The sequence below is a fragment of the Homo sapiens genome, chromosome 2 (assembly GCF_000001405.40).
Source record: "Homo sapiens chromosome 2, GRCh38.p14 Primary Assembly".
In the NCBI taxonomy this organism is placed as follows: domain Eukaryota; kingdom Metazoa; phylum Chordata; class Mammalia; order Primates; family Hominidae; genus Homo; species Homo sapiens.
In genome coordinates, this window is record NC_000002.12 from 115,688,370 (window position 1) to 115,712,116 (window position 23,747).

General features: G+C 32.6%; 1 protein-coding gene across 24 annotated transcripts in view; it reads left to right on the forward strand.

Moving 5' to 3' along the window:
• Nucleotides 1-23,747, forward strand: part of DPP10 (dipeptidyl peptidase like 10) — a 1,403,140-nt gene that overhangs the window by 1,245,729 nt on the left and 133,664 nt on the right. For 23 of the 24 annotated variants that reach the window (NM_001321910.3, NM_001399849.1, NM_020868.6 and 20 more), the window contains 2 exon segments: nt 1,318-1,370; nt 1,471-1,552. In NM_001321910.3, the coding sequence (NP_001308839.2) occupies nt 1,318-1,370; nt 1,471-1,552 (135 nt within the window). 24 annotated transcript variants of the gene reach the window in all.

Below are 23,747 nucleotides of genomic sequence, written 5' to 3' on the forward strand. Positions count from 1 at the left end.
AATTGAAGCTATTATTCCAGTGAGAAGAAATAACAATTTGACTTCTAGGGAGTTTTAATTGACAGTATTATAATATTTGTGCAATGTACATCCACTACAAGAATAAAAGAAGCTTTTACAATTGCATACTGAAAAATGAAAGTATCAATAAAATTTCTGTAAATCCTGGAAATAATAATATCACAATATAGCTAGCTAAAGAACAATTTTCTTCACTAGATTCACATAGCTTAGAGAAAAATAATTTTCACAGAAATATACTCATCATCTCTTTCCCTAACCCATCTTTTGTAATTTTCCTAATTTCCTCTGTATTCCACTATTTCATCATCTCATTATTAAGAAGCAAAACATAGAGGCATTTTTGCATTATGCACTACAGTCTTTTGTTTGAAATTTAATGGGTCATGAGTTCTGCAGTCCTTGGGAAGATAGTCTTTAAAAAAATGGGGATTTTTAGATATTACATACTTGTAGCCATCTGCTTAATATGTCATTTTCAACCATTACTATGAAGGTGTGGAGAGTGTTATCTCACTTCAACTTCACCAACAAACACTTCAACATGCATTAGTTTTTTTCCTATCAGAACCATCACTCAAGAAATACCAGTTGAATGCATATAAACATGGCACTGTGCTAGGTAATGTGGAGGATGCAAAGGTAATAGACACCTGTATCTGACAACATTCTAGTAGGAAAAGGAGACTTACACAAAATGTTTATATAGTTTCACTACAGAGTGAGATGTGTCCTAAGAGTCATGCAGGAAACTGTGCGAGATGGATTTCAGTAGAAGAAATCAATATGAGCTCCATACGGGGGCTTTATTATAAGGGGTAGAATTCTCACCTCAGTTAAGGTAGAATGTCCTTGGGGGAAAAGCAAAAAAAGTTCAGGACACACAGGGAGAATCCATCTAATTTGAAGTATAGACGATGTAAAGAGAGGGAGTGGGTGATAAGTTTAGAAAAACATGTAAAAGCCAAAATAACAAAATTATTTAACATCAGATGAGGCAGTTTGAACTTTATTTTACAGGCAATAGGGCATTAGTGAAAATTTTGAACAAGAAAGTAACATAATCACAATTATACTCAGGATAGAGTGGATTAAATAAGCAATGGAATTGATATTAGAAAGAAAAATTAGGCATAAGGCACAGAGAGGGTGATAAACTTCTGAGCTAGAATGTTTTATATTTTCATTTCTGCCTAACACCAATTCTTGGATTACCTGGATGTTACTAAGAATATATATACATATATTCACATTAAGATAAAGCTATGATCAATAATGTTTCTTTTTTAATTTCAGATTTTTCATTATTCGTATACTGCTTCATATGTGATTTACAACATACACACTAGGTAAGTTCTTTGATTTTCTAGTTTTCATGAGCAATTGTGTTACTAAATTGTTGGTGTAGATATCAGTTTGTTCATGTAAAAATATTCACATTTTTTCAAGGGAAGTTTGGGAGTTAAATCCTCCAGAAGTAGAGGACTCCGTCTTGCAGTACGCGGCCTGGGGTGTCCAAGGGCAGCAGCTGGTAAGCGCAGGCATTGGTATGCACTGAACACTGCCAATCATGGTTTTATGGAAGATGTTAACTGAAACTTTGGAAAAACCATAGGAAAACTTGTCCTACAAAACTTTATGTTTCCCTAAGTCCTTTATATCTTTTATCTAATAGTCCAACTTAAGAATACATTAAATGATACTAGTATTATTTTATCAGTTAATAAAGACAAAAGTTTATTAAGTAATATATGATTAAACTGCTGGTTTATAATGAAACCTAGAAGAGATTCAAGGTTACTAGGACCTTGTACTGCATACTTTCCATTACATAATATTGTCAGTTTTCATGAAAAATTCAAAATAAAGATTATTTTTTCTTAAAGCATTGTTCAGGGTAAAAATTTAGACAGAATTATTTAATATTCTCTTAAGAGAGGATTTTTACTTTTATTTTTATTTTGAAATTATTACAAACTCAAAAAGATAATTATTGATATATAAAGCAGTTTGAGCAATTATATATATATGTATGTGCATGTTTATTTTAGGCAAAGTCTTGCTCTGTCATCCAGGCTGGAGTGAGATCTCAGCTCGCTGCAACCTCTGCCTCCCAGGTTTAAGCAATTCTTGTGCTTCAGCCTCCTGAGTACTTGGGATTACAGGCACATGCTACCAGGTCTGGCTAGCTTTTATATTTTTAGTAGAGACGGGGTTTTACCATGTTGGCCAGGCTGATCTCAAACTCCTGACCTCAAGCGATCCACCCACCTAGGCCTACCCAAAGTGATGGGATTACAGACATGAGCCAGTGAGCCCCGCCTGCAATATTATATTCTTGTACATATCTCATGGTGACAATGTAAAGCCTTTCTCAAGGGAATATTGCTCAGGGAGTAGTATTGCTTACTATCCTGTGCATGCTCAGATGTACTGAGCATCACCAAACTGATTTCTAGGTTATTTGTTAAGCGTGTTTACACCTACCAGCAATAATGAGAGCGTTCCCTTGGTTCCATATCCTTGCCAACACCTGTTTTTCCAGACTTTTAAATAATTACTCAAATGATGATACAAAATAGTATTTCGTTATAGTTTTATTAACATTTAGTATTTCCTTGAATTCTAATAAGCTAGAGCAACTTTTCATATGGTTACTGGCAATTTGTATTTTTTCATATGTGAAATATCTATTCATATATTTGTCCATTCACATTTTTTATTCTTTTTTTTTTAGTTAAAAGGAACCCCTTATATGTTCTGGATATTAATACATTGTTTGGTCTATCTTCATCCAGTTTTCGGATTTACTTCTCACTCTCTTAATGGATCCATTTCTACAAACATATTTTTTTATAAATGTAGTCTGATTTATCAAATACATGATTTGTACTTTTTGTTATTGATGAAATCTTTACAATGAAATCATACTTCTCTAGAATTTTTCAAGTGGGCCTTCCATGTATAGGTTCTTGATCCATCCATCTGAAATTGCTTTTTTTGGTATGGTATTAAGTCCCTATCCATTTTTATATATGTTTTATATGGCCAACAATTGTCCTGAAACCTTTTGTTGACCACTTCATTCTTTAACTATTCATCTGCAGTGTTACAGTGTTATGCTGTACATATCCATGAGTCTTCTTCCGGCTCTTTTTTTCTTCCAGGTGGTTTGTCTATTAGTGTGCTAAGACAACAGTATCTTAATTAAAATAAGCTTTACTAGCTGACAAGGCAGTTTCATATGCTGACTTTGACTCTTCTTGACTTTTTAGCCTTTCATATGAATGTCACAATTGTCTTTCATGTTACATGCCCATTTTCAGAATTTTGAATTTATTATTTGAATCTATATGTCTATTTTGGGAAATTAACATCTTAGTGATACTGAATCTTCATATCTACAAACATTTAATGTATGTATTTAGTTATTTAAGACTCTTAATATCTCAAATTTTACAATTTTATATCTAAAAATTTACACTTTATCATTTTGGTGACTCTTTTAAGTGCTTGCATTTCTTATTTTAAAAATGTTTGCTACTGGTAAATAGAAAGGTACTCAAATTATTTATTTAATATATATCAACCTTGCTACGCACAATTATATATTCCAAATAATTCTGTGTAGACTATTATGCTTTTTGTTAATAATGACATTTTTCTTTTCCATTTCAATTTTTATAATTTCTATGTCGTTAAAATCCTTCTGCACTAGTTAACCTATGAATGTAACTAGGTATGGTGGGGTTTTTTGTTTTTTGTTTTTGCTGGAATACTAAAAAATTGATTCTATTATGGTTACTGGGTTAAGTTTTACAATTTTTTTTTTAGTTAGTTTTAGTTAGTGACTGCAATTGATGAGACATGCTTTATGGCTTGGGATTTTTTCAAAATGCTTTTTATGTGATGGATAATTTTATATATGTTCTATATGACAGGAACAATGTTCTATATGTGCCTACAGGATCAATCTTAATAATTATGTTTCTAAGAGTTATATTTTCTTACTAATGACAGTGGATATGTGATTTTTTTCTTTAGTTGTCAGTTTTGCATTATATAATTTGAACTATGTTGTAAAGAATGAGGAAGTTATAAAATGATAAATACATCTTTCTATTGAATTCAAATGTTTTATACCTTAATAAATATATTTACCTTATTTACCTTTAATAACTCTGATTGGCCAACCCTCATCCTATCCTTTAACTAGTTCTTTTAACGTAGTTTAGAATCCTCTAGGCTTTTTTAAAATTTGAATTGCTGTTTTAACAACAGCTGGTTGGGCTGAGTTAAGTTTTTAATTTCCTGCAAGCCTCAATTTTCTCATCTATAAATAGAAATATGTACACCATCATATCATTGTGATAATTATTTTGGAAAATGACTATTTTTCATAATAAGATGCACATTACTATGATTTATATCCTATTTTATAAATCTGTATATTTCTTAAGCTTATTAGTGAAATAGGGTAATTATAATAGATATTTCATATCATGAGAAGCCTACAGAATAATACACTGTGGCTAAATAAGGTTTCCTTTCATTGGAAAATAATCTGGACCCTCAAATATTCAAAGAAATCCTACAAACAACCCTGCATTCACTGTCCTTTCCACACTAAATGGTTGAATAATTGAGTAAATCATTATGATGAAAAAAGGTTAGTGATTTAAAATGAAAAATGTCTGCAATTGTCCAGATACCACAGATTATAGACATTATATTTGCTTTTATCTTGTAGATATTTAGATAAATTAACAAACAATGCATTTAATCTACCATCACAGAACTCTCTGTAATCTATCCCACTATGATATTTCTGAAAAGTGGCAGCAAAATTTGCATAGAATATGGTAAATATGAATGTGCAGGGTTTGGTCTAGATAAGGCATGTAATCAATGAAACATTCATGGACAATGGTGAGTGGACACCAAGAAGTGGCAGGTGCTCTCATCCTTCCTGTTTCACTCTGATGTTGTGAACAATAGAGCTGGTCCATTGGGCCAGAAGCAACTTTGGAACAAACCAAATTCCAGAACACAGAAACCCAAGACAACTCCACCTTTTGTACAAAATACTGCCCAGTATTTTAGAAAAAAATGGACAGTATTTTGGAAAATCTTTTACACTTTGGTTGGTTTTAAATGACCCTCTTATTCTTCATACTTGAGGGAAACCAACACCTATGACAAAATAATAGCACTTTGATACACTCAGGGAAATAGTATTAATGTATGCATTTTCTTTATTTGTTATTGATTCCTTATTTTTTAATATATTTAAGAAAATTATGAAAATACTAAAAATGTATAAAAATTATAGGTTCCCTGTTTGAAGCCATATTGCAGGTGATTACATTCTGGTTCTACTGCTTACTAGCTGTTGATCTTGAGAACATTATTTAATCTTGATATGGCTTACTGTTTCCATCTTTAAAATGGTAGTGCTTTATCAATAGTGCTATTCTGGTGTTTAATGTATGAAATACAGTTCTAAAGCACTTTGAATAGTATCTGGCCTATAATAAGTATTTTGTAGGTATTCACTTTTACTATTATTAAAAAATCTGTTTTCATATGAATTTAAACACCTTAGGGAACTTTAGGGTGACTAGTTTTGTGGAGAATTAAGCTTAAGTTTTCTGTAATGTCATTTTTCAAACTCCTTTGGGGAATTCTTAAGAGAAATTTCATATTTATCTAGTTTATCTTTTGAGTGCATGCAAACATAAATTTAAAAAAGTAAAAGACATACTTCTACAAATGGCCAATGGTCCATTTCATATGAGTTTGGCATGCTTTGTCAATATTTGAAGCTATTAGCAAACTCAGCAATATGATTTTATTAGAGATGAGTCATTACAATACTTTAATTAGTTTTGCATTAAATAAAGAGGCTTGTAGTGTTTACTAACTAAGGATAATTAATTATCCTTCATTTTCAGCTTCTAATCTTATTTGCTGTAAAAGAAATTCCTGGTATTATAGAAGAGAGGCAAGGGATTGACATAATTTACTGAGGAAGAGGATCTAAGTTAGAACTCAGAATATTGAGGAGAACTTTCAATAGCACTAAGTGTGAGTAAAGGCAATTTAGATGTGTCAAAATTTGTGGAAAAATGAACCTGAAGCAATAAAGAGTGCATTATTTGGAGAAGGTGGTGAGTGAACCACTTTAGCTGTAATAAAGTTTTATTGAATAGAAATGGTTTGGGAAGAGGAATCTGGGAATTATGGTAGAAAGAGAAGCACCAGGAATCTGTTTTTCCATTCAGATAACAATTGCTACAGTAGACATGTAACTATTGAGAACTCTAGTCTATTGAAAGTGTGTAAATTTTATGGGAAGGCTTGAATGGAAGTTTGTGGTTAATTTTAGTTGACTTGAACTCTTAGCTCAGAAGCAGCTACCTATCTTCGACCCCAGCCCCATGGCAGGCAGCTGTGCTTATGTTCCTGGAGCATGCATTCATCTTGCAGGAACCAGGATGGACAATGAGGGCCCTGTGATGCAAATAAGTAAGGATTTGTATTCTTATTGTTTATTGCCCCTTCTCATTATGAAATTGCAGATATAGAGGAAGGCAGCTATTGTTTCACATCCTTACACCCTTATAACAAGCTCCTCTCCCTCCAGCTGAAGTGAATTCTAAGGTGGTTAAAAGGCCAGTGCCCTTTCCTACTCTTCATTTTTCTCTTTTTTGAGGGATGTCAGCCATTAAAAATTAAGATATTCAAAGGCAACTGAATGTATGGGAGAAATTAGCAAGTCACCATACATGCACAGGGAAAGATGCAGGCTTACAAAAGATCTGAGAAGACTTTTTTCACATAAGGCTGATTCTCAGCATAAAGACAGCCTCCAACAATTACAAAAGAACCAACATAACAAAACAAAAGCAAAAACATAAAATAGAAAACCATGGGAAATGGGAATGTATTAGTCCGTTCTCATGCAGCTAATAAAGACATGCCTGAGACTGGGTAATTTATAAAGGAAATAGGTTTAATGGACTCACAGTTCCACATGGCTGGGGAGGCCTCAAAATCATGGTGGGAGGCAAAGGAAGAGCAAAGTCACGTCTTACATGGCAGTGGGCAGGAGGGCATGTGCAAGAGAACTCCCCTTTATAAAACCATCAGATCTCATGAGACTTATTCACTATCATGAGAACAGCTTGAGAAAAACCTGCCCCCATGATTCAATTACCTCCCACCAAGTCCCTACCATGACATGTGGGAATTATTAAAATTCAAGGTGCAATTTCAGTGGGGACACAGAGCCAGATTATATCAGGGGAGATTCTGATTTCCAGAGATACCAAAATTATTAGATTCAAATTGTCTGGTTTTCAACAATAAAAAAATTACAAAGAATACAAAGCAATAAGGAAGTATGGCCCACTCAAAGGGATAAAAGACCCAACATCAAGAAATAATGGAAGTCATGGAAAATATGAAGAACATGATGTATGAACAAAATGGAAATACCAGTGGAGAGAGAGAGAGTAAACCTAAAAGACACCAAATAAAAAGTTCTAGAGCAAAAGCTTACAGTAACTGAAATAACAGTTTTACTAGAGAGTCAAGATATACTTGAGCAGGGAGAAGAAAGAAGTAGTGAAACTGAAGATAAGACAAGTGAAATGATTGAGTATTAGGAACATAAAAAATAAAAGACTGAAGAAAAATAAACAGAACCTAAGGGACCTATGGAATACCATCAAGTGGGGCAACATAAGGATTATGGGAATGTTAGAAGTAGAAGAGGGAGATGAAGGGGTAGAAAAAATATTTTTAAAAATTAACAGCCCCAAATTTGATGAAAATCATTAGTATAAATAACCAAGAGCTCAAAAAATCCAAATAGGATGAACTCAGAGACCCACACCAAGACAAGTTACAATCAAACTGTTGAAAGACAAAGACAAAGAGAATTTTGAAAGCAACCTGAGAGAGGCCCTCCTCGCTTGTCACATACAACATATCCTTATCAGCAGATTTCTCATCAGAAACATAAGAAGCCACAAGACAGTGGGCTGATGTGTTCAAAATTCTAAAAGAAAAACAAAACAAATCAAAATCTGTTAACCAAAAATTTCATGTCTGGAAAAACTGTGTTTCAAAAGCAAGGGAGAAATTAAGACATTCTCAGATAAAGAAAAATTGACAAGAGTTACCACTAGACCTGCCCTGCAAGAATTACTAGTGGGAGTCCAGCAGGTTGAAATGAAAGTACACTAGGCAGTGATTTGAAGCCTTATAAAGAAATAAAGATCCCGGTAAATGTAAATACATGGGCAATTATAGAAATGTATGTTATTGTTACAATGATTTGTAACTGCACTTTTTCTTTTCTACTTAATTTAAAAAGCTAAGATATTTAAAATTTTTAGTCTAAAAGCTAATATTATTTTAACTTTAATTTGTATTTCACATTTTTTTTAGACATAATTTAAGAAAGTAATGCCTTAAATGTCATTAGTTAATACCTTTGGATGTACAATATACAAATATGTAATTTTGTGACTTCAATAATTGAGGGAGGTGAGGATGAAACTATGAATGAGCAACGTTTTTGAATGTTATTGAGGTTAAGCTTGTATAAATTCAAATCAGCACTATAACTTTATGATGTTGCATGGAACCGCCATGGTAACAACAAAGAAAATAATAAATATACACAAAAGAAAGGAAATGAGAATGGAATTAAAACATTCTACTATTAAAAATTAAACTCAAATAAGACAGTAATGTGGAAAATGAGGGTAACAAAAGATAAGGGATATAGAAAAGAAATAGAAAAATCACAAAAGTAAGTTATTCCTTATCAGTAATTACTTTAAATATAAATAGATTAAATTATTCAATTAAAAGAAACTAAGAAGATAAGTTTTAAAATATAATATGATTCAACTACATACGCTCTATAAGAAACTCACTGTAGATACAAAGACACAAATAAGCTGAAAATAAAAGAATGGAAAGAGATATTTCATGCAAACAGTAAGCAAAATAAAATAGGGGTTGCTATACTAACGTAAAAATAGGCGTTAAATCATAAACAGTTTTGAGAGACAAATAAATCAATACAGTAAGAAGATATAACATTTCAAACATTTATATACCTAATAACAGACCATCAAAATATATAAAGCTAAAAATGAATATAATTGAAGGGAATATATATATATATATATTTCTACCATAATTGTTGGTGATTTCAACACCATACTCTCAATAATGGCTAGAAAAACCAGAGAGAAGATAATTAAGAAAATAGAGGATTTAAAAAACACAGTAAGGCCAGGTGCAGTGGCTGACGCCTGTAATCCCAGCACTTTAGGAGGCTGAGGCGGGCGGATCACGAGGTCGGGAGATCGAGACCATCCTGGCTAACACGGTGAAACCCCGCCTCCACTAAAAATACAAAAAATTAGCCGGGCGTGGTGGCGGGCGCCTGTAGTCCCAGTTACTCTGAAGGCTGAGGCAGAATGGCATGAACCCGGGAGGCAGAGCTTGCAGTGAGCCGAGATGTGCCACTGCACTCCAGCTTGGGCGAGAGAGCGAGACTCCATCTTAAAACAAATAAATAAACAAATAAAAAACACAATAAGCCAACTAGACTTAGCAGATGTATACAGAACACTCAACCTAACAACAGCGTACACGTTCTTTCACGGGCGTTTGAGAAATTCTTCAGGATGGATCATACATTTTGCCACCTATTAAGTCTCAATAGCTTTTAAAAAATTATCACACAAAAGATCTTCTCTGATCACAATGGGATAAAGTTAGAAATCAATAACAAACTGAAAACTGAAAAATTTCTACATTTGTGGAAATTAGAAAACATTCTCTCAACCAGTGAGTTAAAAAATTACAGAAAAATTAGAAAATACTTAGAGATGAAGTAAAATGAAAGCACAACATACCAAAATGTATGAGATGCAGCAAAAACAGTGTAAGCGGGAAGTAGCTATATATACTTACTGCTGTGGAATTAATGGTGTTCCCACAAAATTTATGTTGAAGCCCTAACCTCCAATGAGACTTTGTTAGTTTGTTGGAGATAAAAGTTTTAGGAGGTAATTAAGTTTGTACAAGATCATGTGTGACGCTTTAATCCAACAGGACTGGTGGCTTAAAAAACAGAGGAAGATCTCTCACTCTTTCTCTTGCTCTTGCTGTCACTCTCTTTCACTCTTGCTCTTTGTCTCTCTGTGCATACTCAAAGGAAAAGTCATGTGAGGGCAAAGCTGCCATCTGTAAGCCAGTAGGAGAGCTCTTACCAAAAACTGAAACATGTTGGAACCCTGATCTTGGATTCTTTAGCCTCCAGCACTGTAAATAAATATATTTCTGTTATAAACTGCACTGTCTTTGGTATTTTGTTATGGAAGGCTGAAAGGATTAAGACACTCACATTAGAAAACAAAAAAAGATCTCAAATCAACAACCTAATTTTACAACTGAAGGTACTCAAAAAAGAAAAACAAACTAAACCTAAAGATAGTAGATATAAACAAAGTAGATAATTAAAAACAGAGAAAATCACTAAAATCAAAAGTTGGTTCTTCAAAAAAATCAACTAAATTGGCAAACCTTTAGTTAGCTTGACTGAAAAAAAAAAAAACAAAAAAAAAAAAACAAGAGAAGACTCAAATTCCTAAAATCAGATTGAAAGTGGGGATATTATGACCGTTTCTACACAAATAAAAAGGATTATAATAGTACTATGAACAATTGTATACCAATAAACTGGATAACCTAGACGAAATGAAGATAGTACCAAAAATGCAAAACTTCGTAGTAGAGTCATGAAGAAATAGAAAATCTGAATAGGCTTATAGTTAATATGGATATTAATGCAGTAATCAAAAACCTCCTGGCCAAAAACATTCTGGAACTGATGGCTTCATGGGTGAATTCTACTAAACATTTTTAAGAAAACCTAACACCAAGGCCAAGGCGGGCGGATCACCTGAGGTCAGGAGTTTGAGACCAGCCTGGCCAACATGGTGAAACCCTGTCTCTACTAAAAATACAAAGATTAGCTGGATGTGTTGGCAGGCACCTGTAATCCTAGCTACTCAGGAGGCTGAGGCAAGAGAATTGCTTGAACCTGGGAGGCAGAGGTTGCAGTGAGTTGTGATTTGAGATCATGCCACTGCACTCCTGCCTGGGCAACAGAGTGAGACTTTGTCTCAAAAAGAAAAACAAACAAACCAATATTTCTCAAACTTTTCCAAAAAGTCAAAGAGGAGAAAGCACTTCTTAACCCATTATCTGCCAGCATTATCCTGATACAAAAATCTATACATGCTACAAAAAACTTACAGATCAATTTTTCTTATGAACATTTATGTAAAAATTCTCAACAAAATACTAATACAACAAATTCAACTGTGTAAAAGATTATACAACATAGCTAACTGGGATTCATTCTTGAAATGTAAGGATCATTCAATATATAAAAAACTGATCAATGTAATTGTATTAGTCCCTTCTCACATCGCTATAAAGAAATATCTGAGGATGGGTAATTTATAAAGAAAAGAGGTTTAATTGGCTCACAGTTCTGTAGGTTGTACAGAAAACATGGCTGGGAAGGCCTCAGGAAACTTTTACTCATGGCAGATGGGAAAGCTGGAGCAGGCATCTTCATGTGGCTAGAGCAGAGGAAGGGGGTGAGAGTTACCACACACTTTTAAACAAACAGATCTTGTGAGAACTCACTCATTATCCTGAGAAAAGCACAAAAGTGATGGTACTAAACCATTCATGAGAAACCCACTGCCATGATTTAATCATCTCCCAGCAGGCCCCTCCTCCAACTTTGGGGAACACATTTAACATGAGATTTGAGTGAGGACACAGATTCAAATCATGTCAGTAGTATACTACATTAATGAAATTAAAGAAAAAAAACACATAATCATCTCAACTCATACAGAATAAGCATTTTTAAAAATTTAACACCCTTATATGACTAAAAAAAAACAACAAACTAGAAATAGGAGAAAAGTACCTCAACATAATAAATGTCATCATGTATGCAAAATGAACGGTGATCATTATACTTAATGGTCAAAGACTGAAAATAGTTTCTTTGAGATAAGAAACAAGGCAAGGATCCTTCCTTTTGAAACTTGTATTCACCACAGTACTGGAAGTCCTAGCAAAAGCAATTAAGCAAACAAAAAAATAAAATCAATTCAAATGGAAAGAAAAATAAAATTATTTCCATTTACAGATTATATAATTTTATTTCTTTAAAAGCCTAGAGTCCACACACACACTCAGCATTTTAGAACTAATAAACACATTCAGCAAAGTACTAGGATAAAAAGTCAACACAGAGAAATCATATACATTTGTAAGTCTATACAATAACTGTGGGCAATCTGAAAGGAAATTAAGAAAATAATTTTATTTACAATAGCATGAAGAAGGATAGAATGCTAAGAAATTAACTCAGTCAAATAGATGAAAGACTCATACAATGAAAACTAAAAAATATGTCTGAAAAAAATTAAAGGACACATAATAAATGTAAAGGCATACCATGTTCATGAATTGGAAGATGTAATCTTGTTATGATGTCAATATGCCCAACACAATCTACAGATTCAATTCAATCCCTATCAAAATCCAAATAATGTCTTTTTTGCAGATATAGAAAAGCCTATCCTAGAATTCGTATGAAATTTCATAGGGCTTCAAGTATCCGAAACATTTGTAAAAAAGAAGAAAGTTGGAGAACTCACACTACTGATTCAAAACTTACTACAATGTATAGAATTCAAAATAGTGTGACATAAATTAACTGTGCTGGTACAAAGACAGTAATATAGACCAATGGAAAAGAAGAGAGAGTCCAAAAATAAACTTTCGCATTTATGATCAAATGAAGGTGCCAAATCATTGAATCAGGAAAGGACTATCTTTTTTAAACAACTGATACTGGAAAAACTGGATATCCACATACACAAAAAATAAACTCTTACCTAATATCACATTCAAAACTTAACTCAGATTGGATCAAATATCTCAGCATAAGCTCTAAAACTATAAAACTTTTAGAAGAAAATATAAGTCAGAAGTTTGAAGATATTGGAAGGAATAAATGAATTGAATCATTTTGCAGTGCTTTCTTGGATATGACACAAAAGACACATGAAATTAAAAATTGACAAATTAGATTTTATCAAAACTTAAAACTTTTGTGCATCAAGAACACTATCATTGGAGTAAAAAGGCAACATGTGGAATAGAAAATATTTCCAAATCACTTATCTAAGAAGAGGTTAATATAGAGGAATAAAGTATACAGGAGTTCTTATATAGAGGGATTCTAAAACGTAATAAAAAGAAAGCAACCTGATTAATTCCAAAATGGGCAATGAACCTAGATATCAAAAAATATGTAAATGGCCAATAAGTTCATCAAAATAGCAATTCCTATGGAAAGAAGTTTGATCTTAATATGAAGTGGAACCTTAGGAATTAACCATTTTCGGTAGGTAAACACAACTGAATATAGATGCCTTGATATAATTCCATCGCAGTAAGTAGCAAAGTGTAAGTTAAAGTGAGCTAACATTTCATGCCTATATAATCATCAAAAGTTTAAGTTTGATAATACCATTTACTAGTGAGAATACCATTTACTAGTACACAATAGGGACATGTATATCCTGCCAAAGGACTACTAGTGACACAATGACCTTGAGGAACAAGGTTAATTTCCTTGTTCCTCAAGGTTAAGTTCCTTGTTCTTCAAGGTCAAGTTTGTAGAACTTAGTCGTGTTGAAGAAGTCCATCTCTAACCCTCAGAGAGTGCTGGTGGGCATTTAAAATGGTACAGCCTCTTTGGAAAACAGTCTGGTATCTCCTCAAACAATTAAACAGAAAGTTATCATATGATCCAGCAATTCCATTCCTAGGTATATGCCTAAAAGTTCCCACAAACTTTGTACGCAAATGTCCACAGTAGAATTATTCATAGTAACCAAAAGGTGAGGAAAAACACAAATGTCTGCCAACAAATGAATGGATAAACAAAATGTGGTATATTCAAACAATGAAATTATTATTCATACAATGAAATTATTCAGCCACAAGAAGAAATGAAGCACTGATACGTGCTACAGCTTGGATGAACCTTAAAAACATGCTAAGTGAAAGGAGCCAGTCTTCTTTCAGAAGTCAAATATGATTTCATTTATGTGAAAGTCCAGAATGAGGAAGTTTGCAGGACAGAAAGGAGATTAGTGGTTACTTACAGTTGGAAGGATTGAGGGATCAGGGAGTGATAGCTAAAGTATATGGGACTTCTTTTTGAGATAATGCAAATTTTATAAAATTGACTGTGATAATAGCTGCACACATCTGTGCATACAATACAAACTATAAATCTGTAATTTTTAATGGGTGACTTGTTTGGTATGTGAAGAATAGGTGTTTTTCTAAAGAAAGAACTGGTAAGTCCTACAACAGTAAGTTAGGCATTCAGTTGAAAAGGCTTGTGGTGCAAGAAGGTGTGTCATTTTTCTTTTTAAACAAATGTAGCCTTATAAAGGTCAGAATTACTCATTGTAGAACGTTTTGAAATTGATATAATTAATAAAAACAGAAAGTATACTTATCTATAATTGTATCACGAAGAATGGAATAATTTCAAAAATCAGGTGAAGGGATTTCACCTTTAGAAGGAAAAACATAGTACTAATTAGAATGAATCTAGAATCAAGAAGCTCAAGTCCAGATTATTTTCCATTCTTTTCCTTACTCATTTTTTAAATTTATTTATTATTATTATTATTTTGCTTTGTGATTTAGGGAGAGTTGAAGGCTGTACGCTTAAATTTACTTACATTACAAATGAAAGATGGTCATAACTAGTTCCAGTTTTGTTTAAGTTTTAACTGAGGTATGTCAAGTGTATCAGTTAAAATTCTCCAGAAAAACAAAACCAATAGGATATATATCTCCATATATATAGGGAGAGGGAGAAGGATTTTAACGAATTAACTCATGCAACTGTGAGGGCTGACAAGTTTGAAGTCTATGGAGCAGACCAGCAGGCTGGACAAGTATTAATGAATTGATGTTTCAGTCTTGAGTCCTAAATCTGTCGGGCAGGTTGGCAGTTGGGAAAGTTAGGCACAATTTCTTGAAGCAGAATTCATTTTTGGGGGGAAACTTCATATTGTACCCTTAAGGCCTTCAGCTGATTGGCTAAGGACCATCCATATTATTGAGAATATTCTTCTACTTAAAATGAATTGATTGTAAATGTTGATCACATCGACTAAATACCTCCACAGCAACGTCTAGACTAGTGTTTTACCAAACAAATGGGCACTATGGCCTAACCAAGTTAACACAAGAAATTAACCATCACAGTAGGTATGACACTTCACACAGTGAGAACTCAAGAAATAATAGCTATTATTTTGTTCCCACCTGTTCTTTCCTACAAATAATTCACTTAATTCAGAGCCTCATCATCTTTCACCTAGATATTTTAGTAGCTTATTTTCTAAAATTTGTTCTCACATCTCCAGTCATTCTAATTCAGCCACCATCCGCAGAAATATATGTTAAAATTGAATGTACTTAACAGACTCCCACAAGGTTATAAAATGTCATTGAAGTGACACTCAATGTCATTAATGTAACTAATGTGACAACTGGTCCATCATCTGAGCTCCTGCCACTCCAGCACAGAGCACATATTTTTCTCTACCTGAACCAAACTCTTTGTGATTTCTGGATGAAAGACACCTGACTCCTCTGTGTCTCTGAGTCATTCCTCTTGGTAGACCTAGCCATTTAAAAAAAAAAAATTTCCTTCAAAAGTCTTTGTTAAATACTTTCTCTCTTCTTCTCTGATAATTTTTTTCTAACCCTTACTCCATGCTAAGTGAATAGTTCGCTTTTTGGGATTCTGGCATTCCTCTCTCTCAAATAATTTTTAATACTATTTATTTATGTTGTTATCTTCTACCACTAACTGAGGGGGAACACCTAGAATACAGGATCTATTAAACATTTTTTCTCTCTCATTTGTTTTTCTCCTCCTCCATTTCTTCCTCCTCCTTTTTTGTAAAATTTACTGTAGCTCAAGGCAAAATGTAAGTTTAATAAATTTCTGGTTGCTTTGAGAAACTGATGAAAGACTTATTGTTATTTCTGTGTAAAACAAGAAACCAAAGGTTTTGAGGATTGTATAATATGGGAAAAAGTCATGTATGAGAAGATAGATCTTGTAAAGGAGGCCATGATATACCATAAGCTATTGAATCTGGAAGCAGGGAGCTAGGTGTAGAGGCCATCATTATAATCTGGAACTGCAATGATAATCAACCATATATCAATATAACAAGCTTTTATGCTGAGATCTAAAATTTGATTGCTATTCAAAGATAAAAATTATCTTATAAACCTAATTAATGTAAATGAAATGAGGCAAATATTAAAGAAGTGTATTTCTAAAGGTTTCTTTTTCTTTTTACAAAAATGTCCTCTTTGAGACTCCTTCCCTGAAATTGCTAATATTTGTTTAATTTTTTATATTGTTGAAAAATGTAATGTTTAGGTAATTCTTCAAATACAAACAAAAATTATCCACATCTCTCTATCACCTGTGTTTTTGCTATTACTAGGAATTTATCTTAAAATTTTATTAAAACCTCAAATTATGAGCAATGGTTTAGTTTCTTTGGGAGACTTTAAATTTGTGATATAATCTCTTACTTCATTACTAATAACAATTGTGAACTATTTGATCAATTTTTCCCGAGTAGTATTTAAGGTAGCACTTTTCAAACATATCTTTGAAATCTCACATTTCCTACTAAAAGTCAATGAGATTTTGCTTCATATTCCATTAAATATCTATGCTTTTTAATACAAAAGTAATTATTTTTAATCTCATCAGGATGTGTTCAAGAAATGTATGATAAGCATACACAAATATATTTGTGTGTTTGTATGCACACACACACATTCACACACGTTACTGCTGGTGCCAAGCACGTTCTGGGCTGAAAGTCTTGGCCTTAGAGTCCTATTATACCAGAGCTTTAATGGAAGTAGATGAGGAACAAGGCCAGCAATTGACGAATTCTATTTCAAGTTAGTTATTTAACTGTAGTTTGTATGATGCTCATTTCTAGTTGGTAGAATGATGCAGGGAAACCACTAGGGAGTGAAGCCAAACAATTTACACTATTAATATCAAGTGTTTGACATGATGAGTGTTTCCAATATAAATAAATTTGGACCACTTTTTTGTTGTTGTTTACCTCATTCATCTTCATTAGTGAAGATAACTGAAATCCGATTACCTTTTCATTTTATCTGAAACAAAATCGAATGTTCCTGCTTTTAGTTGCAGGGTATAAAAACAATCTCCCTTACCACATTGTAGTATTGCCCCATATCTAACGTCTAATGGGTCTCAAATCAAATTTGAGATCAGGAAAATCAATACCAAGCAGCTCATATCATTTATTTACTAAATATTTGGGCCAGAAATAGTAATAAACTGTAAGGGGATAAGTCTGTTTGGGTTTAATGGGGGGGAAAAAAACAGGAAACAAAACCTCACCTTTAAATTATCTTAACTATCTTCACTTATAAATTTGCAATGTATTTAGGTATATATTTACATGAATATATTACATATGTAAATGTAACAGGAAATACAATGTCACATAAATAAAATGCCTTAACATTGTGCAGGTATGTGGGACAAATATGCAATTATGTTATATAATTTAAAGGAAAATTAATTTGCATTGCTGTGTAAAAATCACCTACACATCAGGTGAGCAATCCCACAAACTTCCTTTAATTCATATTTAGGCAATATTTTAGTCATTTAGAAATAATAAGGTATTTGTAATGACTTTATCTTTTTTCTCTTGTTTTCCAATGTAAATCACAATTTCTGTGGCACGTCTTGTTTCATCCTGCTCATAACATAATATTAAATATTAAATTGTGGAGTAAGAACCATCAAAATCATGGGATTGTAGATTTTCTAACTGTTCACCTGGGTCATGCATAATCTAATATACACAATGTATACTTTAGACAGTTCCTGCTAAGGAAACTATTTGAATGAAAGAGCAATGTAGATGACAGTTAGTGAAAGTTCCTGAATATTAGACTCTTTCTGTATCATTGCAACTAAGCGCTTACACCATACCTATTATTCTTACATTTGATCAGACAGGGTTAACCTAGAGTGATATGTCAAGTTTCATTTGATCAGCAGTCTAAACAAAAACTTAAGAAAAATGATAAGATTATAATAGTATCTACCACAAGATGTGAACCATCTTACATAACCCCTGAGGTTAAAAGATCCCAATTAGGCAGAGTTCAGTACTTTAGTGATTTACTGTGTTTTATTAAATGGCATGCAGATAACTCCCCAAAGGGAACTGTGGTCTGCATTAATGTCGAGACTCTTCATGTCAGAAATAACTTCAGACATCTTTCAAGTGGTGTGGTAGAGGAGCTCTCCGCTTGCTCTCCTCCTTAAGAACAACCAAAGAAATGAAAATAAAAAAAGACAGTACAATTTTTATGTTACATTAATCAGCTACAGCCTAATCTATAATCTCAACGGAACATAGAGTAAAAAGAAATCCACAGCCAGAAAAGGATTGAAAGCAAATATACACTTTAATAGATTTTGAGAAACACAAAGAAATAGACAAACTGACAATTTTAGCTGGTAATTTCAACATTTCTCTTACAGTAAAACATGAAAAAAGTAGATAGGAAATCAGTAGGGTATAAAAGGTTTGATTAACACTATCAACCAAATTGACATAATCGACTTTTATAGAACACTATATGTGATAATTACAGAATACTTGACATGTTTAAGTGCACACACTGGGCCATAAAACAAGTATCAATAAATATAAAAGAATTGAATTCATACCAAATTATATTCTATGACCATAAAGGAATTAAGTAAGAAACAAACAAATTTTACACACACACACACACACACACACACACACACACACACACACTCTCTCCACATTTTTTATTGGAATACGAATATATCTAATAAGTAATATAGTATTATACATCTAGTGATTCTGAATGTAGATTTTGTCCTGTAAATATATTACACATGTGTCTCAAGACATACATTGAGAAAATTCATTGCAACACTATTTATAATTTTAAAAACAAAATAGAAGACTGAACACAACTTAAATTATTATTATGGGACTAGTAAAATAAACTATGGTACATAAAATAATAAAATAGTGACTTCTTCAGAAGCCATTAAAATTAATGATTCTTCTATATGTGCAGGAAAGCAGTGCTATCCAGTGATAAAAGAAAGGTCCATATTGTTACTTAGCATGTTATTATTACAATAGGTAAAACATTCCCCCAAAACAAAAATATCTATATATTATTTAAATATTTCCAGAATTATGAATAACAAGATGAAACTTAAATTACAGAATTGATTACTTTTAACATAGCATATGAAAATTAAAGCACATCAGGAACTTCCAAAGTAAAGAAAAAGGTGGCAAATTGTTATATATATGGATATAGATATAGATGCAGATATCTTATTTTCTGAAGTGTATGTCAGCAGCAATGATCACATACAATGGCATGAGATTCTACGTGTGTTACACGTGTCAAACATAATCAGAGACAAAATAGGGAAAGCAATATGTTAAAGTAAAAATAATTATTGTTTTAGAGTAGTAGAATAATGTTGGTATGGTCTTTAACGTTTATGTTATTATGTTACATATTGTTTTAAGTGTTAGAAGAGGAACTAGAATATGAGGAGCAAGGGACATAAAGGACTAGACATTTAAAGCTGAATTTAAAAAGCAACTGTGACTTGGACCTTAATTCTACTTGGTAAAAAAGACTTGCTAATAATATTGAAGTTGGCTATTAAAAGACCGTGGTAAGTATCTTATTTGTTTCTGATGTGCTCTGGAATGGAAGTAGAATGCAAAGATCATTATATTACAAATTGGTACTCAACTCTTAATTCTTTCAAAATTATCCTAATCACTGTTTCTAACATCCCAGAACTAAACTGGGATATGGGGGTGAATAATGTCAAGTTGGCTGTTCATTTAAGAAAAACAAAGCTTGTCCACTAACTTTTTTGATTTCCCTTATGTTATTCAAATTCAGTATCTTCCAAAAGAGCTTTTTTTGGGGAAAATTTTCACCATCTTCTAACCAATTTTATATCTCTAACATAAAAACCTGTCCCTGAAAGCATAATGACATTTGTAAACATACTAATAATTCAGATCTTTACACTTATTCTTGGAATTAGAATCAAAACTAGATATAAACCACTTCACCCTTTAAAATTATATAATTTACTTGACATTAATAAATTCTTCTTGAAAAGGAAAAATAAAAATACTACACCTGGATATGATGAAGAATGTACTGGAAAATAACCTTTCACTTCAGAGCAATCACAATGAAAAGAACTTTGACTAAAATTGAATAAATGGTTTTACAACCCTGATATAGAAGAGCAATTGCTCACACATCAATCTTCACGCAAATTCAGCAATAAACTCTGACAAAACCTTAAAACAAACCAACACATAAAAAGCTACCCAAGGACTCAAGCCTGAACAAAACCAGGCAGATTTTCGAAGGGAGTGAAATTTACAGGAAAATAGCTCACAAAATAGGATTCCTCCATTTTGTTAGTTTTGTTTAGAGTTTTAGCCTAAGGGCAACTGTAGTGGAGGCAGAGTGTGGGTATCAAGTAAGTTGAATCTCTGATAGGAAATCCGACTGTCGTTTAGGCAAGACCAAGAGAAAGAGCCCTTGAGTAGCTGTAACTGCCAGAGAATGAGAAGAATCCCTGAGAGAGTCAGAGCAGGGGTAACTAGTGGTGTGCACGTACTCAGGCAAGTGTTTGACTGAACTTCAACTATAAATGACAGAATTTTCCGACGAAGTCTTTAAAGCTGCTATTCTAACTGTATTTCCTGACCTTCATAAAAATAAATGCAAAAGGAATAAAAAGATAGGATATATCAGCATACAAATACACCTATCTTAAATCTATTGATATATTTATATATCTTATATATCCTACCTTTCATAGACAGATACACGAAGAATATTAAAAAGAAGAAAATGGACACTTGTAGAATTTCGAAACAGTATTTAAAATAAAAAAAAAATTGGATGGGATAAAGAGCAGAATGAAGATGAGAGAGAACAGAGTCTGTGGCACACAGATCAATAAACAACATTTAATCTGAAAAAATTAAGAAATTTACAAAAGAGAGAAAAACAAAACAAAACAAACAAACAAAAAACAGACCCCTAGGGACCTGTAGGAAAACTGCAAATCTCTAACAGATGGTGCTTGGAATCTCAGAAGAAAAGGAGAGAATGGAGCAGGAAAAATATCTGAAAAAAATGATAGAAATTCCAAAATGCAATAAAAAACACAAATTTACATATTCAAGGTGCTCAGTGAACTCCAAACACAATATATTCAAGGATAATCCCTCAAAAGTAAATGTTAGCGAAACTGTTGAAAACTAAAGATAAAGAGAAACTGTGGAAGTGAACAGAGACACAACACAACATATAAGTAGGACCAACATTAGAATGCTTACAGACTTCTCATTAAGAACCATGGGGAATCAAAGTGAAATAAAGACAGTTTCTGACTAAAGAAAAATAAGGGACCCACACTACAAAATATGCTCTTCAGTGAGAAAGAATAATATGATAGGGGAACTCGGATCTTCAGGAATGAAAGAAGAACATTGGAAATGTTAAGTATATGAGTAAACATAAACCACTAAATTTCCTCTTAATTTCTGTATAAAACGTATTACTGTTAAAAGCAAAAATGACAGTATGGGGGTATGTATGTCTGTATGTTGTGTGACAACTATAACGACAAAAATGGTGAGGGAGAAAGAAAATTATACATTTGTAACATTTCTATGTTTTACATGAGATTATTATCTTCCTTAATAATAATTTTCACAAGGCACTTTGAATTTTTAGTTACTGATAAAAATCAGATTGCCTGATAATTTTAGAATTTAAGGGTATGTGGTAAATGAGGTAGTTTATTTTCATCAAACAATAATAGCATCATGGATTCATAAACAATGTTCATTTTTTTTCTAACATTTGGATTACGAATACATTTGAAAAGTTGAAACAAGTCACTATAAAATGCCTTCAAAATGATTGACTTAAAATTTTTCAACTTTTTTCTAGAACATTATGAGCTTTTAAAATTTGAGGTTATTTTATTCTTATTCCCAAAACCTAAGATGTATTCGCTTGGTAGCTAATCTAGTTTTAATCATGCAGTTAATAAAATATTTATTAAGTAATCCTGTTTTGTTGGTAGCCTGTGTTTTGTTGGTAGCCTGTGTTACTCCCAAAGGTCATAACCTTCAATAATATAGTTAATAAAATGTGGAAAATATTTCCACAAAGAAACAACAGGACTTGAGTTTTTAAAGAATAAGAAGTTTGCTTTTAGAATCTGTAATGTGTTAGTCACTCTGGAGAATTCAGTTGGAAAAAAATGAAAGAACTGAACTGCTGAGATATTTAAAATCTAGAAGCATGAGGTGATAAGTCAAGAAATACTTTGGGCAAAACTGAAATTCGTATAGCACAATAGCATGCAGATAAAGCTAGGTGAGTACATGTTTTTTCTTTTTCTGTGGGGTGAGGGGAGTGAATAGTGGATTCGCTGTCTTAGAACCACAGTTTCTTAATTTCAGGTTTGAAAGTTATATACATTAATTTGCAGAAAAGAAATAGAGACCTTACAAAAGAAAAAAGTTACTTGCAAAGACTATTAGGGACAATTTGGTAAGTACTGTTAGAGAAATTAAAGATGAGAAAAATGAGGGATACACATAAAGAATGGGATTGTCTTGGTTGACCTGGAATGCTACAGTGGCTACGTATTTGCAGAGATTATAAATTGAGAGTCATTCTGGATTCTTGTACATCATAAAATGGAGTTTAAGATTACTCTAGCTGTTGTGTTCAGGATGGATTTATTCAAGAGGAGGGTGATTGTCTGAGATGGAGTCCATTGAAATGACCTTTCAATGGAGATTTGAAGTGCTAATCCTATATAGGTGTGGGAATGAAAAAGATGCACAGTTGGTAAATAATATGAATAAGAGTGATTTTTGTGGATTTTGATTGAAACAAGGCAATGTGAGGAGGCCGAGAAGATAAAGGTATCAGAAATAACTTCTTAAAGATGAGTTTGTTCTTACTGCTAGACTTTGCTGACATTGAGTTGACACATATCCCAAAGTGTTATGCAATTTGAAAGCTGTAAAAATAATTGGTTCTTAAGGTTACATATAGTGATCCATATATTAGTTCATTTTTACTTAAGAAGATATACTTTAAAATGCATTTTTAAGAGTTTTCCTAGAATATTGGACCTATAAAATGGTCTGGTTTTTTTTTTTTTTTTTTTTTTGGAATCATTGTCTAATGCATTTAGCACAGCAGTTCTCAACCTTTTTGGCACCAGGCACTGGTTTTGTAGAAGACAATTTTTTCCATGGACTGGGGCAGGGGAGGGATGGTTTTGGGAGATTTAAGAGCATTACATTTATTGTGCACTTGATTACTATGATTATAACATTGTAATATGT